At 39.1% G+C, this 15963-nt stretch overlaps 1 protein-coding gene across 4 annotated transcripts in view, besides 1 other annotated feature; it reads left to right on the top strand.

Moving 5' to 3' along the window:
• ADAMTS12 (ADAM metallopeptidase with thrombospondin type 1 motif 12) overlaps nt 1–15963 on the top strand; it is a 368456-nt gene that overhangs the window by 96171 nt on the left and 256322 nt on the right. The window lies entirely within an intron of this gene.
• Nucleotides 6406–7605: an enhancer, noted in NCBI's record as "BRD4-independent group 4 enhancer chr5:33788320-33789519 (GRCh37/hg19 assembly coordinates)". NCBI's record gives its function as "activates an origin of replication core promoter dependent on BRD2, P300/CBP, MED14 and CDK7 cofactors, and independent of BRD4, by STARR-seq in HCT116 cells {active_cell/tissue: HCT116}" and the evidence as "EXISTENCE:reporter gene assay evidence [ECO:0000049][PMID:35650434]".

Genomic DNA, 15963 nt, shown 5'->3' with positions numbered 1-15963 from the left:
AGTAATCGGCCTCAGGCACTTTGTTCCTTCATTCCCTTCAGCTTTTACTTCTACCAGTGGGGAGTATAGTGGCGAATTTTCAAAACCCTCCACATTTGGGCTGAGGTGGCTCTTACTGACAGAGACGAAGAATGGCTCCCACATCCCAGCTCCCCCATTCCTCCACATTGGGAGTATAGCCAGAGCTTGAGGAGTCTGTCCATTCACCACCGCTCCTCTGAGGAGCGTAGTTGCTGGAGTCCCTTTGTGCTTCTGAATGACATTTCTTAAGGTTGTTCGTATGAAATGAGACTATTTCCTAGTTTCAGTGCTACGTGAATAGATTTATTTTTCGATTTAAAATTTTTTTTCATTTGACGTAGGGATTCTGGAATTTGGTAATTTTTAATATTTCTGCCACCTTTTCCAGATGTCTCTTGTCTTTTAGTGCACTACATCGTGGGGCATTTGGTGAGAGCAACACTTTTTTGTTGTTGTTCCCACAGGGATTTCTATCTGGGTTGGTGTATTATAATATATTGAGACATTTCCAATCACTGAATTCGCCAGCCTAATGATTCCCGTCTCTTTACAGGTAGGGCAGTGCCATTTGTAAGCACACTGGGTGCCAGGGCAGATGCTTGCAGATTAGATTTACTGGAATCTTTCAGCCCATGGGTCCTGTGATGCTTTTACAGCCAGAACTATAGAGAAATTATTTCCAGCTTTCCTCTGCTATGCATGTAGTTTCCAAATAAAATCCAGACTTTGCTGTACACGTAAGTCTGTTCTTGTGACCAGCTGCTTGAAATGAACAAACTTTTCAAATGTCTTTTTTAAAAAAACTTGGTCACTTTTTAATTAATTTTTAAAATATGTAAATAATGGGTTCTCTGGGAGAAAAAGGACATCATTAGGGAACTGTCCTTTGAGGAGTATTTCAAGCTGCCGATGGAGTTATTTTTCACTGATGACAGCTCAGGATGTGATTCATAGTGCTGGAGATCATACCACTTTCCTACTCTTAAGTTCTGGAGTCAGCGATCTCCCCCGCTGGCCCCTTGCAGATAGAGGAAGATACTCAGGTGTGTACCTCAGATGCCTGCCATATCAAGGGCTGCTGAGATACATTCACATCTTAACAGGCAGCTGCTGCTGGTTCTGCTACTGATGTGCCATCCACAGTGCCGGTTTCCAAGGAAAATGGAGCGTAGGAAGAAGTGCCGTGCCTACCTGCACCTCGGTCTCCATTGCCAGCAGACAGTGCATATTTGATTTACTTAATTGAGTGGCAGAGCTATACAGAGAGAAGTCAGTGTAGCAGGATGAGAATAAGCTGCAGCAGGCTGGGTGCAGAAAACCAGAATCTTCCCAGGCATGCAGCTGGCTTTCCGCTCACCGGCTCAGCACCATCTTGCCTGCTTGCGCAACCTCCACTCTCCACTCTTGAAGTAATGAGGACCGGAATTTTAGCTCCAGATCGACTGCAAGAACAAACCAGCAATCCCAAGAGGCCCCACAGACCCTCTGAAGGAAGCGGACTTCTCCTGCAGGACCGGAAGAGACACCCCAAATACTGTGAGTGCCCCAGCTGCGGAAGTGGGAAAGGGAGACCCTCCTCTCCCAAGCACACACCTCCACTGGAGAAGCTGAAGGTCTGTTTGCGGGAGAAGTTTCCGACTTTACTTGGAACTGAGTCAAGTTAGTGAGCCGAGCGAAATACAGAGGTAGAGGAAGCAACAGGAAGGCCCTGGGAGCTCCCTGGGTCCTCAAGCAGCCCATTCCCGCTGGGCACCACAGGGATTCATGGGGAGGGTGGGCAGAGGAGCAGGGGGTAAACTCCACGGGGAGGAGGAATTCTCTAGCTGAACTTTGTAACAATTTGAAAGCGGCGAGAAGCCTCCTGACCAGAACTTGCGGGAGAGTGCAAATCGGGCATGCAGACTTCACAGGCGGGGAGGGGGGAAGAACTAAAGCCCTTTTCTCTCACAGCTGGGAGGAAGATGGTCTTGGGCAAATTTTCAAGCCCATCTCGCCCTTCGCCTGGGAACAGACTTGGGATTGTTGGTGGGGGCACGGTGGGAGTGAGATTGGCCCTTCAGTTTGCATGGGAGCTGAGTGAGGCCTGTGACTGCCGGCTTTCCCCCACTTCCCTGAGTTGCTGTGGATATTAAATTGAATATGTGGATATGGAGCTTCATGTGGAAATACATTAAACAAATAAGAAAAAAAAGTTTGGGTAAAATAATCCAATACAGTCTCTCATTTCAAAAAATCTTAAATTCAATTTAAAAAATGTGACTAGATAACTTTCCATTTATGTCGATATTTATAGCCCATCCAGATTTTAAGAAACTTCACTCTCTAAAACATCTGTTCCTGGTTGCTTAATCAAATTCAGGGTTTTAAACTATTTTAAGCAATTCAGAAGATTATTCTTAAGTAATCAAAAAAATAAAGTTTATTCTATGGGAACATTTGATATTTTGCTTTAACATTTTGAACAGATTCTCATTTTGTTGGGGGGTCTGACCTTCACCCATGATTTTAAGTGTTCAGCCTCATTACACACAAACCTTATCTGTCCATGGTCCCAAATAGTTAGAGCTCATGTTTCTTGTTTGTATTTGTGAACAGAAATTTTTAGCAAGGAATAAAATAAGATTAGTCCTTTATCTGAAACACACTGGAGATAAATTGGATAGCCGTAATTGAGGAAGAGCCGTGGTGGCCAAGAGGCCAAAGTCCTGAGGCAGATGAAACCCCAGTGATCCACTGTGGCACACATCCCGAATGAAGGCAAATTCATGGACACTAAGCCTGGTTCCCAGAACTCAGTGCCTGCTGTTGTGCTTGATGTTTAGGGAGTGCTATGGGAAAGAGACAACAGAGGACACAGGCTCCTTTCAGAAGGCTACCTTGGGAGATTGACTTCTGTGCCAGTCCAGGGGAACCACAAGTAAACCATGTTCAGTTGTCCAGATTGTGCACTGAGCAATAACACCAGCCAAAGGTTGAGTGGAGTTGGAGTTCGGCTCACACTCTGCTCACCAAGTTGTCCCTTATGTGCAGGACTGCAAGTATAGAGAAGAGGCTATGACTGGCTTTTCAAGGATACTATCTTCTTGTTTTTGTTCTGTGCCTATGGAAACAGCCTGATAACCAAGTGTCAGTCTGTTCTGCCAATCATTGCTCCACACAGGGTCAGAGATAGCTGCAGTGGCAGGTGTTGAATCAACACATATCTGCTGAACATCACCTGTGCTTAACACTTGTGCCAGGCTCTTTGAGGGATAAAAAGTATAATAAGCCCACCAAATTCAATAATTGGATGTCAATTATGTAAACTGTAGAGATATTATCACGAGGTCAAGGAAAACCAGTACTTTTCAGACAGAATTTTAGTCCTATCTAATTTTCTCAAATGGGCACTGGATGAAGTAGGGGAGCCAGTTACGTGACATGCACATTCATGGTATCAAGCAATTGGCTCTATAGTACGGGGTCCCTTTGCTACCAATCTAGCGGACTTAAAAGTGAAAGCAGGCTGGGCATGGTGGCTTATGCCTGTGATCCCAGTACTTTGGGATGCCGAGGCAGGCAGATCACTTGAGGTCAGGAGTTCGAGACCAGCCTGGCTAACGTGTTGAAGTCCCATCTCTACTAAACAAACAAATTAGCTGGGTATGGTGGTGGGCGCCTGTAATCCCAGCTACTCTGGAGCCTGGGGCAGGAGAATTGCTTGAGCCTGGGAGGCAGAGGTTGCAGTGAGCCGAGATCGTGCCACTGCATTCCAGCCTGGATGAAAGAGTGAGACTCCATCTCAAAAAAAAAAAAAAAAAAAAGTGTGAAAGCACGTTTAAGCTAAGACTAGGTATAAATGTAAAGATGTCACAGATAATTACCACCAGGACCTATGGACAAAGAGACATCACTAGGGTCAATGCAGCCTAACAGTCTTCAAGGAGTATAGGATCTGAGTTAGGCTTGGAGGATGGGTATTAGTAAAGCTTCCTTTATATCAAATGACAGATACCAACTTCGCTATCCTAAGGCCAAAAAAAAAAAAAGAAAAGGAAATAAAAAAGAGTGGAATTGATTGGGTGGTTTGGAAGGATATCTGGGGTATCTCAAGGAACCACAGACAGACTTAACAACTAAGACTCAGAAATTTCAGGGACCAAAGAAACAAGCATTCATGGACATTTTCTCTAGAGAATTTCCATTAAAGTGGCTTAGCTGCCTATTATATAGGTCACTGCATAGAAGTACAAATTTCTAATTCCCAGGTGATAAAAATCTGATTGGCTTGGATAAACACTTTTCCTAGTTCTTTTTTTATTTAGTAGTCCTTGTTTTTGTTAAAAAAAATTTTTAAGGCATCTAGGCACAGCAAGGATATATGTATAAGGGATTAATAAAATATATCTTACAGGAATTTAGAGCTGAAAGAGATTGAGACCAACTCCCTTATTTTACAGTTGGAGATTCAGAAAAGTTTAGGTGACTTGCCTAGCATTACAGAGCATATTAATATCAGGGTCAGGTTGAGAATCTCAAAATTCCCAGTACCTCATATTGCCCAGGATGTTTTCATTGGAGACTTTTATATTTTAAGCCTGAACATCCAACTCAATAACTACCAGACATCTAATTCTTGCTGAGAGTCAAGAGGTACTGGCCAGCCATGCTGCTGTGCATGTGAGTAGCTGTGACCTGGGTGGGGTAAGAAATCAGGTGTGGAGCTTAGCTCAGAGGCCTTGTCCTCCATCTCCTGGAGTGGTTTTAGATCTGGCTAGATTGCTTTCATCATGAGAGTGTGACCGCATGCTCTGTAGTGGAGGGACTGGGAATCACCATGCAACCCTCTGACCAATGTTAACATCACTAAATGTGCAAGAACCAGACATTAGGGGTTTCTCCTGTGGGATGCAACAGGAAGAACACAGCACCACCTATTCAGTATTCTTACATATACACATATACATGTAGCTGATGTCTGCACCTTAGCCATATATATATCAACATGCATATATATATATATATATATATATATATGTTTGTATGTCAAGCTAGAAGTTTGATTAGAGTCAAGTATATGTGTGTTTGTGTGTATACCTGAATCTCTATGTGCACACATGTGCGTGTGTGTACACACACACACACTTTAATAAAGCCTTTAGCTCTGTTGACCAATTTACAGGAGAAAAAGGTTAAAGGAGAAAGCAACAGACAAATCCATATGTGGGACATTCTTTTTTCTTTTTTCTTTTTTTTTTTTTTTTGAGATGGAGTCTTGCTCTGTCACCCAGGCTGGAGGAGTGCAGTGGCACGATCTCGGCTGTCTGCAACCTCCGCCTCCTGGGTTCAAGCGATTCTTCTGCCTCAGCCTTCCGAATAGCTGGGACTACAGGCATGCGCCACCATGCCCAGCTAATTTTTGTATTTTTAGTAGAGACGGGGTTTCACCACATTGGCCAGGATAGTCTTGATCTCTTGACCTTGTGTTCCATCCACCTTGGCCTCCCAAAGTGCTGGGATTACAGGCGTGAGCCACCGCGCCCGGCCAGATGTGGGACATTCTAAAGGACAATCAACTGGTTTCTGCAATTAGCCAATGGCAGGAAAAAAAGGGAGATGGAACTGCTCTAAAAGAAAACAGACTTAAGGATAAAACAACTAAATACTATGTGTGGACTCTGGCCGCACCTGATTCGAATGGATGAACTGTAAAGAGACTTTTTTTTTAAAGAGCACTACAAAATTTGATAATCTATTAGATAACACCCAGGAATTGTTCTATAACCTTGTTAGGTGTGATAATAATATTGTGGTTATGTTTGAAAAGGTCCGTAATTTTAAGGATTCATAGTGTAGTCTCGGGGTGAAATGACATGAGATAGCGGATTTGCTTTAAGATACTTTGGCAATCAACACTGTTGTATTCTTAGGCAAAGTAAATCCATGAGAGGCAGGCTTGAACTGTCCATTTAGAAAGAAGAGGCTGCAGACCACATGGCGCTTCCATGCCAAGAACGAACTTGAGAGCACTGTGGGGAAATGGACTTTCCCCTGTGTTTGTTCATTTGTCAGGGACACTAAGTAATTTCAAAATTAAAGAAAAGCCAGCCACAGCTCTGAAGTGCCAAGGACTGTCAAGAACGCTGTGTGTGTTTCTATCAAAGCACTGATGTTGCTAACACATTCATCATTTATTTTTAAACCTGCTGGGACTGCTGTTGAGGTACTCTACGCAGCCACTAGCCATTTTCCTCCTTGGGCAGGGTTATTAGCTTCTGCTTTCCTCCAGAGAGACCAATGAGGGAAGTGCAGAAACCTCCCTTGGCTTTTCTCTGACAGAATAAAGAAGAGACCCTGAGAGCGGTCTAGAGACCCTAAAAGCAGACTGTGTATTAAGCAGTGAGGCATGGACAATGGTGGCTGTTCCATCTCCAACCTCTCCTTGGAGATGGCTCACTCTCAGCCCTGGGGGAGGCCATGTGTGGGCAGCATCTGCTGCTGGAGTTTCATTGGCAGCTGTATTTGTGTCCCTATTTCATAGACATCCATGGTGGGACAGCAGCTGGTTCTCTGGGTCTTTGAGGCCTTGGGCCTGGGACACAGCAGCCGTCAGGCTCTCTCCTTGCTGAGTGTGTGTGAGAGACCTTTCTGTCCCCTAGGGAATTCACACAATGTCCACAGCCTATGAAACCTCCCGTGTTCTCATAGATCCCAATCATGACTCAGAGAGGAAAATCATGCTTTGATGTACAGAATCCGTGTGATCCTGAGTATGTGGATGTGGTTCAGATTTCTGTACCCTGACTCACATTTTTGGCCAGCTGGGATTTCACTGTTAGGGAGATTCTTAGACTCCTGGGAAGGGAAGAACCTCTGCTGAGCACTGTGGAAAAATTGCTGTGGGAACAGCCAGAAGATGTGGAGGAAACTCAGTTTCTGCATCTGAACGAAAGAGGATGGGATACCTGCCCAGCCCCTTTTTACAGAGTTATGGGAAGAACAAAGGTGAATGTGTGCGCATGTGCTTTAGTAACTGCCAAGTGGTCTACAGGTGGAAAGTAGGGTTTTTGGTAATAGGTTTGCTTATGGTGAAAGCCACTTCCTCCTGTTGAATAGCCCGTCTCTTTCTCAAGGCTATAATCCAAGGATCCTTTCATGACTGCAGAAATTCAAAATAGCTTCCTGGTGCACCTGCTTCCAGTGTTTCTCTTCATCATGCCCTATTCCTTTCCTCGCCAACTCACTTGAATTCCTGGGAAAATGAGATTCTGTGGAACTATCAAGAAGAGAAAGACAACATTTGCTTTTTGTGTGCACCTGAACCTGGCATATTTTAGCAGTCCTACCTTTTCTCTCTCCCCTTCTTTTCTCTCTCTTCCCATCTCCTCCCCTTACCTTCCTTTCCCTTCCCATCCCTCCCCTCTTTCGTTCCCTCTTGGTACATTTGCCTATGATTCCAGTGAGTTGTTATGAAATTTAATTAAATTTCTCACCTTGAACTTCTGCGTATTTATTGGACAGGCAAAAAAAAAGAGAGAGAGAAAAAAGACTGTTAATGTACCTCCTTTAGTTGAAGTTGCTTGTTTCAGTTAGAGGACATACATTATTTCATGGTTTGAAAAGTGACAGGAACCCCTACTGGCTGTTCAGAAGGAGCCATCTGTGGACAGGCGTCCATATTCCAGAGCAAGACTGTAGTTCGAGGGGCTGGCCATGCTTCACATTCACAGGTGACCAAGGCAGGGCAAGGGAGCCCATCTGTGCTGGAACTCACTGGCATCCTTAAAAGTTCATTATGGTGGGTGGCTAAGTGTTGCCATTTCCCTCCCGTTTGAGTGAGGCTGTGCCCTTCCTGGTGGCAGGGTCTATGGTATGTTTGTCTTCAATTATCTGGCACCCAGAACATTCCCTCACACATGGTAGATGCTCAGTAAATGTGTGGAAGAGTCACGAGAAAACAGCTCCATTTCCTATCGTGCTTTACTTTGCCTCTGTAAAGTGTTGAAGAAATATCACGCTCTTTTCTGTATGGGAAACTGTTCTGTAACCAGTCATGTCTGAGAGACCCCCAAGGATGGGACATTGAGGAGGTGGGGGCAGTGGGGATGTGGGCAGCTGGTGTGGAAATCAGGGTAGGCCTTTTTAAAAATGGCCTGCTATGGACAGGTAGCCCATAGACTTCAAGCCACTCAATTCCTGCAGCCTCTGTGCCAGCATGTGGCTCCCACCAGGAGCATGGCTCCAATCGCTGATGTCACTGCCAAACCTACCCCATATACTTGGCAACTAAAGTCCTCATAGTCGCCTTCTTCTCTCAAGAAACATGTTCTCGTGATGAATATGTCTTCATAGAAATGCTGAAGGTTTTGTCCACAAATGCTGGAAAATATTAGGAATTTCAAGCAATTTGCTAGGCAGATTTAGGAATGTTTTTGACATTCGAAAAGTGGACAGTGGCCCTGCAATGGATGGTTGCCTTAATTTTCTTGAAGCTCCATGTTCTCCCATCTACAAACCTGTCTTTCTTCTAACAACCGTAGGAAGCTTTAGCCTTTACATCAGCAATCTGATCTTTTTCAGGGGTAAACCTGACAATCAGTAAAATAAATCAATAGGAGGTGACTACAAATGCTTTTTTTTTTCATATTTCCTACCTTCTTCCAAGAATGGAAAAACTCCCACTGAGTAAAGAATGACAATGTGCTTCAGGTTGGGGGGTATAGTCTTATAATCACTGAATTGGAAAGAGCTAAAGGACTTTTCAGCCATAGAGGACCACATCTAGGCATCCACTTAGGTTATTTCATGACTAATATGTAGAACGAGTATGATTTGGTCCTAACTGTAACAAAATGAGTAGCCCTTTGCTATTGATATAAGAGGGGGATCCCTTCTGATGGACCAGAATCCCCACCAAAGGCAGGGGAATTGGGAATCTTAATTGTTGGTTTAATTTATTAGGATTGGGAAGGTACTTGCTATCCCTAGTGTCTGGCACTGACAGGGGACTGGGGAGATGTGAATAAAAGGTCAGAAAATAGTTTTTCGTAGAGTAATATTTATCCCACGTTGCACTGCCACAGTGCTGAAAGTTCCTACTGTTGCAGACATGGGCTGTGCTTGTTAAACTTACCTGGTCACAAGAATCACTGCTTTGCTTATTGAAAACAGACTCCTAGGACCCAATCTATCAAGAGAAGAGGTTCTCAGGGGTAATATGCTTGGGAGGCAATGCATATCAGAATCATTTGGGGAACATTTGCAAAGTACGTACAGCCTCCTGATAATAGATGGTATTCTTCAACTTCTAATATTTATTCCACGGAGGAGGAAGTCTATGTGTGTTAAAAAAAAAAAAGCTTCTTAGATGATTTTAATATGCTGCCTTCTGTCCTCTTCTCTTTCCCTCCCCATCTCTGCCCTTTACCCTTGTTGGAAAACCATTAAACCCAAAGAAAGGAAATTATTTTTATTTTCTTATAAAATGTTTTTAACAGCCTTATTGAGGTATCATTTACACACCATAAAATTCATTTACTGTAGTGCACAGTTCAATGATTTTTAGTAAATTTAGGCAGTTGTGGAATCATCACAATACACTTTTAAAATATTTCCATGACCCCCAAAAGTTCACTCATGCCTGTTGGCAATCTGCATTCCTATCCCAGCCACAAGCAAATATTGTTGTCTTGTTTGTCTTTCATTAGATGCATTTTAAAGAAATGTCATATAGTGGAATCATACAAGATGTAGTCTTTTGTATCTGGTTTCTTTCACTTTGCATAATATTTTGAGGTTCATTTATGTTGCATTTATCAACAGTTTGTTCCTTTTCATTGATGAATAGTATTCCATTGTATTGCTGTATCAGATTTTGTTTATCCATTCATGAGCTGAGGGATGTTTGGATTGTTTCTAATGTGGGGCTATTATAAATAATGCTGCTATGAATATTTGCACACAAATCTTTGTGTGAATACACGCTTCATTTCTCTTAAGTAAATATTTAGGATTGGAATTGTTTGCTTATATGAAATGTCTATGTTAGTCTTTTGAGAAGCTGCCCAACTGGTTTCCAAAATAATTGTACCATTTTACATTTTCAACAGCAACATACAAGGGTTTCAGTTTTTCCATATGTTAGCCAACATTTGGCATTGCTAATCTTTTAGATTATAGCTATTTAAATGGGTTTGTAGTAGTATATAATCATGATTTTAAGTTGCATTTCCCTGATAATTAATGATGTTGCATATCTTTTCAATATTTCTTTGCTGAAGTGCCTATTCAAATCTTTTGCACATTTCGTAGTTTGTCTTGAGTTTGAGCATACATGCACACACACAAACACACACGTACACACACACATGTACACACACTCTGAATGCAAGTCTTTTGTCAGATACATGGTTTGCAAATATTTTTCCCTGTCTGCATTATATCTTTTCATTTCAATTAAGACATATTTTGAGAGCAAAGTTTGCGATTTTGTTGAAGTTCAATTTATCATTTTTTTTTTACAAGCTGTGCTTTTGGTATCATATCTAAGAAATTTTGGCCTTATCCAAGGTAGAGTGAGTTTCTCCTATAGTTTCTCCCATAGTTCTAATAGTTTCAGCCCTTATATTTATGTCTATGATCCATTTTGAGTGAATTTTTGGGAGTGGTATGAGAAAGGTGTCCATCATCATTCTTTTTCATGTGGATATCCAGTGAAAAGCCTCATATCCTTTCCCACTTTTCCTGCCCTTCCATCATTAAATTGCCTGGGCCAACTTTGTTCAAAATTAATTAACCTATGAGCAAGGGTTAACTGCTCACTATTTTCTTCCATCGATCTGCACATCTTTTCTTATGCCAATACCACACTATTAATTACTGTAACTTTACAATAAGTTTTGAAATTAGGTACTGAAAGTCCAGCAACTTTTGTTTTTCTTTATAACATTTATTTTGAATATTCTAAGTCTTTTATTTCAATATAAATGTTAGAATCAGCTTATTAATTTCTACCAAAATAGCCACTTGGAATTTCAGTATATAGAATATATAGATCAATTTGAGAATTTCCCAGACTTGAGTCTTTAATCCTTGAACATGGTATGGCTCTCTAACTATTTAGAAATTCTTTAGTTGATCTCGGTAATGTTTTGTACATTTCAGGATATAGATATTGCACATTGACTTAAACGTTAATTTGTAATTATTTTGTTCTTTCTGATTATCTTGGAAATGAAACTGCTTTCTTAGTTTCATTTTTGGATTGTTTATTTCTGGTACAGAATACAACTATTTTTTTTATACTGACCTGTTATCCTGTAACCTTGCTAAATTTGCTTGTTATGTCTAGTAAGTTTTTTGAAGTTTCCTTAGGATTTTCTAAATAAATAATTATATTGTCTATAAAAGAGTCTTACTTTGTTTCCAATTTGCATGCCTTTAATTTCTTTTGCTTGTCTTATCACGTTGGCTCACCATCAGTACAATGTTGAATGAAAGTAGTGAGAGGGGACATATTTGCCTTGTTCTTAATCCTAGGGTAAAGCATTCTGTCTTTTATCATTAACTATGAGGTTAGCTGTAGACACTTTTTAAACATATCTTTTATAAGGTTGAAAATTCTCCCTCATATTTCTAGTTTCCTGAAGTTTCTGTTATGTATAGGTAGTGATTTTTGTCAAGGACTTTTCTACATCTATTGAGAGGGTCATATGGTTTTTGTTCTTTATTTTATTAATTTGGTGTTTTAAAATAATTGATTTAAAAATTTTAAATGAACTTTGCAATCATGGGTAAATCTCACTTGGCCATCATACATACTCTTTTTCATATATTGCTAAATTTGGTTTGTTATTATTTTGTTGAAATTTTTATATCCTTATTCATGAGGGATATTAGCCAGGTTTTTTGTGGTATCTTCTTAGTGTCTTTGTTAGCTTTGATGTCTGGGCAGTACTGCCTCCAGAAAAAGTTGGAAAATTTTATGTGAAAATTTATTTTGGGAAGAGTTTGTGTAGGACTGATATTATTTTTTCCTTAAATATTGGATAAAATTGATCATTGAAGCCACTGAACCTGGGTTTTTCTTCATGGTAAGATTTTTTAATTACTGATTTGGTTTTTTAACCTGTTACAGTTTGTCTTCTTGAGTCATTTTAGTAATTTGTGTCTTGCTAGGAATTTTCTATTTCATATAATTTGTCTAATTTGTTGGCACAGAATTACAGCTAATATCCCCTTATAATTCTTTTAATTTCTGCGGGGCAGATAGTGATGTTTTCTCTTTTATTTCTGTTTTTAGTAATTGGATTTTATTTTTCTTTTTGCTCAGTTATTCTAGCTAATTGATTTTGCTGATTTTGTCAAAGAACCTGCCTTTGGTTTTTTGTTGACTTTTTTCTATTGATTTTCTTTTTTGTACTTAATTAATTTTTAATTTGAGCTTTATTTTTTCCTTACTTTAGATTTTATTTGGTCCCTTTTTAATGTTTTTATATAAATGCATTTATAGCTTTCTTCTTTTCTAATTCAAATATTTAAAGCTAGAAACCTTCCCTCTAAATACTATTTTCATTGTAACCCATAAATTCACATGTTTTGTTTCCATCTTTATGTAATTCAGTATTTTTTGTAGTTGCTCTTTTGGTTTCTTTCTTAACTCATTAGTTATTTAGAAGTTTATTGTTTAATTTCTCAAATTTCTTTCAGTTGGTGATTTCTAATTTAATATTCTGGTGTTCAGAGAACTTACTTGGCATGATTTTAACTCTTTTACATTTCTTGATAATTATTTTATAGCCTAGCATATGGTCTACCCTGGAGAATAGTTGGCATGCGCTTAAGATAATGTGTGTTCTGCTTTTATGAGGGAAATGTTCTGTGTCAGTAAGGTCAAGTTGATAGCATTGTTCAAGTCTTCTAAATCCTTCTTGATTTTTGTCAAGTTTTTCTATGAAGTACTAAAAGAGAGATATTGAGATATGAAGCAATAATTTTGCATAATTTTTATCCTCAATTTTGCCAGTCTTTTACTTTATGTATTTTATGGTTCTGTTATTAAGTACATATACATTTATAGTTACTATATCTTCTCGATATATTTATCTCTTTATTATTATGAAATGTCTCAATTTTTCTCTGATATTTCTTACCTTAAAATATTTTTTGTTATTAATGTAGTCAACCTAGCTCTTTTATGATTATGGTCTCCATGATTTATCATTTATTCAATTCTTTCACTTTCAACTATTCCATGTCTTTGAATATAATGTGTGTTTCTTGTAGACAGATTTTGGTTGGGTCTTACTTTTTTATTTTATATGACAATCTCTGTTTTTTGAATTGAGTGTTTATTCTATTCACATTTAATGTCATTATTGATGTTGGTTGGATTTACATCTGTTTATTTCTTCATGTCTCATGTCTTTTTCTTCTTCTGTTTCTCTTTTACTGCCTTGCTTTGTGCTAACCAAATATTTTTTAATGTGCCATTTAATTTTTTCTGTTGATTTTTAACCATATTTTTAAACTATTTTCTTTTTGGTTGTTCGGTAGTATATAATAACTTTGCTTTAATGTCGCTCCATTTACTCCCTCACCTGTGTGCTATTATTTCCTATATATTACATCTATATAAACTCTAAATCCATTAATACACTGTTGGCATTATTGCTTTATATATACTTATGGCTTTTTAAAAAAATAAGAGAAGAAAATAGAAAATTGTTATATTTGTCATTTCAGATCTTTATTTATTGCTGTGTACTCAAGCAGAGACAATTCAAGATGAGGTTAAGGTATAGATACAGGAAGCCATAATTCAGCTGAGCTTTAATGGATAAATAAGAGTTTACACTATCGCAAGAACAAAAAACCAAACACCGCATGTTCTCACTCATAGGTGGGAATTGAACAATGAGAACACATGGACACAGGAAGGGGAACATCACACTCTGGGGACTGTTGTGGGGTCGGGGGGGAGGGATAGCATTAGGAGATATACCTAATGCTAAATGACGAGTTAGTGGGTGCAGCACACCAGCATGGCACATGTATACATATGTAACTAACCTGCACATTGTGCACATGTACCCTAAAACTTAAAGTATAATAATAATAAAATAAAAAAAAAAGAGTTTACAGGTTGATAAGAAAGAATGCAAGGGCAGGCAGGATAAATTTACTGGTTGACCTTTCAATTATAGTCAGTGTCTCCCAGTGTCTCAGCAGATTCCATTATCTGATATGCAGCTGCTGCAGCTGTTTTGTTTGCTTCTTTGTTTTCACTGACAGATTGGCCTGGTCAATGTGAGTCATGTCACTTAGTGTGGTCCCTGGTCTGGTCACATGGCCATCCTCAAGGAGCTTGTGAGAAATGCAGACTTCCAGCCCACATCCACATATTCTGAATCAGAACAGGCATTTAGTAAGATCCCTGTGTGATTCTCATGTACTTTAATGTGTGAGAAGGACTAAGTTAGATGACTTCTTGGTATTTCTCTTAGTTCAATAATTTTAAGACCCATTAAGATATGCGTGTATATATACATATATATATATACACACACACACATGCACATATCTGTATTATACACATGCACAGACATTTGCATGTGTGTGTATATCTGTATCTATATCTATCTATATCTATGTATGTATGAATTGGAGCTGTCTATTTTCTTACCTTACAGCATAAAGTCTGAAAGAATAAATGTCCCCCAAGAACTCAGCTATAATAGCTGTGCTATTCACTTAATCCCAGAAAACACTTATTATTCCTAATGCGTTGTTTCAACCAGTTTTGCATATCTATTATGACAGTATTCTTCATGAAAGTAAAGAAAGAAAAAGAAAAGGGAACGTATTTGTCAGTTTTTGCCTGGAAACTTATGCCATCCCACCACTGAGATTCCCTGATGAGACCACTCCTGCTGCATGACCATCAGGAGCTTTCTGAAATGTTGCTTGTAGTGAGAAGGGGAAAGACCAATCTCACATTTATTAGACTCTTCTTACGAGAGAGCTATAAAAGGAAAGGAGTCAGCTGGGAAGCAAGGGGTGCTTGACCCAGTGGGATGAGGTTGGCTGCTCTTGTCTTAAAGCAATACGATTTAGAAAACAATTTGAATATAATATTAGCCTGATAAGGGACAAGAATCAGTACTTGGTGGCATAAACAAAAGTTTAGACTCTTTTGTAAAAGCTCTTTTACACAGGGAATGCCCAACTCCATTTCTTTTTGCGTCAATCTACCTGAACCACCTTAGCTTATTTCCCTTCAGTGCTTCCAATCTCTGTAACCACCTCGCCTTAAGGAGGCACCACTGGTTTTTATTGAGAGGTGGCAGAAAGAAAGCAGCCATATGAAGATCATGCACATGTTTCTTTGTAAAAATATCATTGAATCCCTTATCTGTAAAGTATCTCATACCTTGTATGATGAGATCAGAATTCTAGTGTCAAAAAAAAAGTCTTTCATGACTGAAAATTTGGTGCATTTCTTCTTTTCAGAGAATAAGAATTGTATAACTCATCTGATCTCCTTTTTAACCTTGACTGACAGAAATCTCAAGGCAAACTTAATTCTGAATAGAAATAATGCTTAATTGTTAAGGTAAATTTTTACTCCTCTTCATGGATTAATTTTCTATCTTTATCTTAACAGACTTCTTGGTTGGTTTCCCCTCCTACAGCTTTATTGAAGTTTTTTGACAAATAAACATTGTATATATTTACAGTATGCAACATGTTTTTGTATCCATTGTGAAATGATTACCATATTTAAGCTAATTCACATATCCATCATCTCACAGTTATCATTTTTTGTAGTAAAAACATGTAAGATCTACTCTCGTAGCAAATTTCAAATGCACAATACAATATTATTAACTATAGTCACTGTTATAGTTATTATTAACTATAGTCACATTAGCTCTCCAGAACTTATCCTTCTTGCTTAACTGA

The sequence above is a fragment of the Homo sapiens genome, chromosome 5, assembly GCF_000001405.40.
Source record: "Homo sapiens chromosome 5, GRCh38.p14 Primary Assembly".
Lineage (NCBI taxonomy): Eukaryota > Metazoa > Chordata > Mammalia > Primates > Hominidae > Homo > Homo sapiens.
This window is presented reverse-complemented; position numbering and strand designations above follow the sequence as displayed.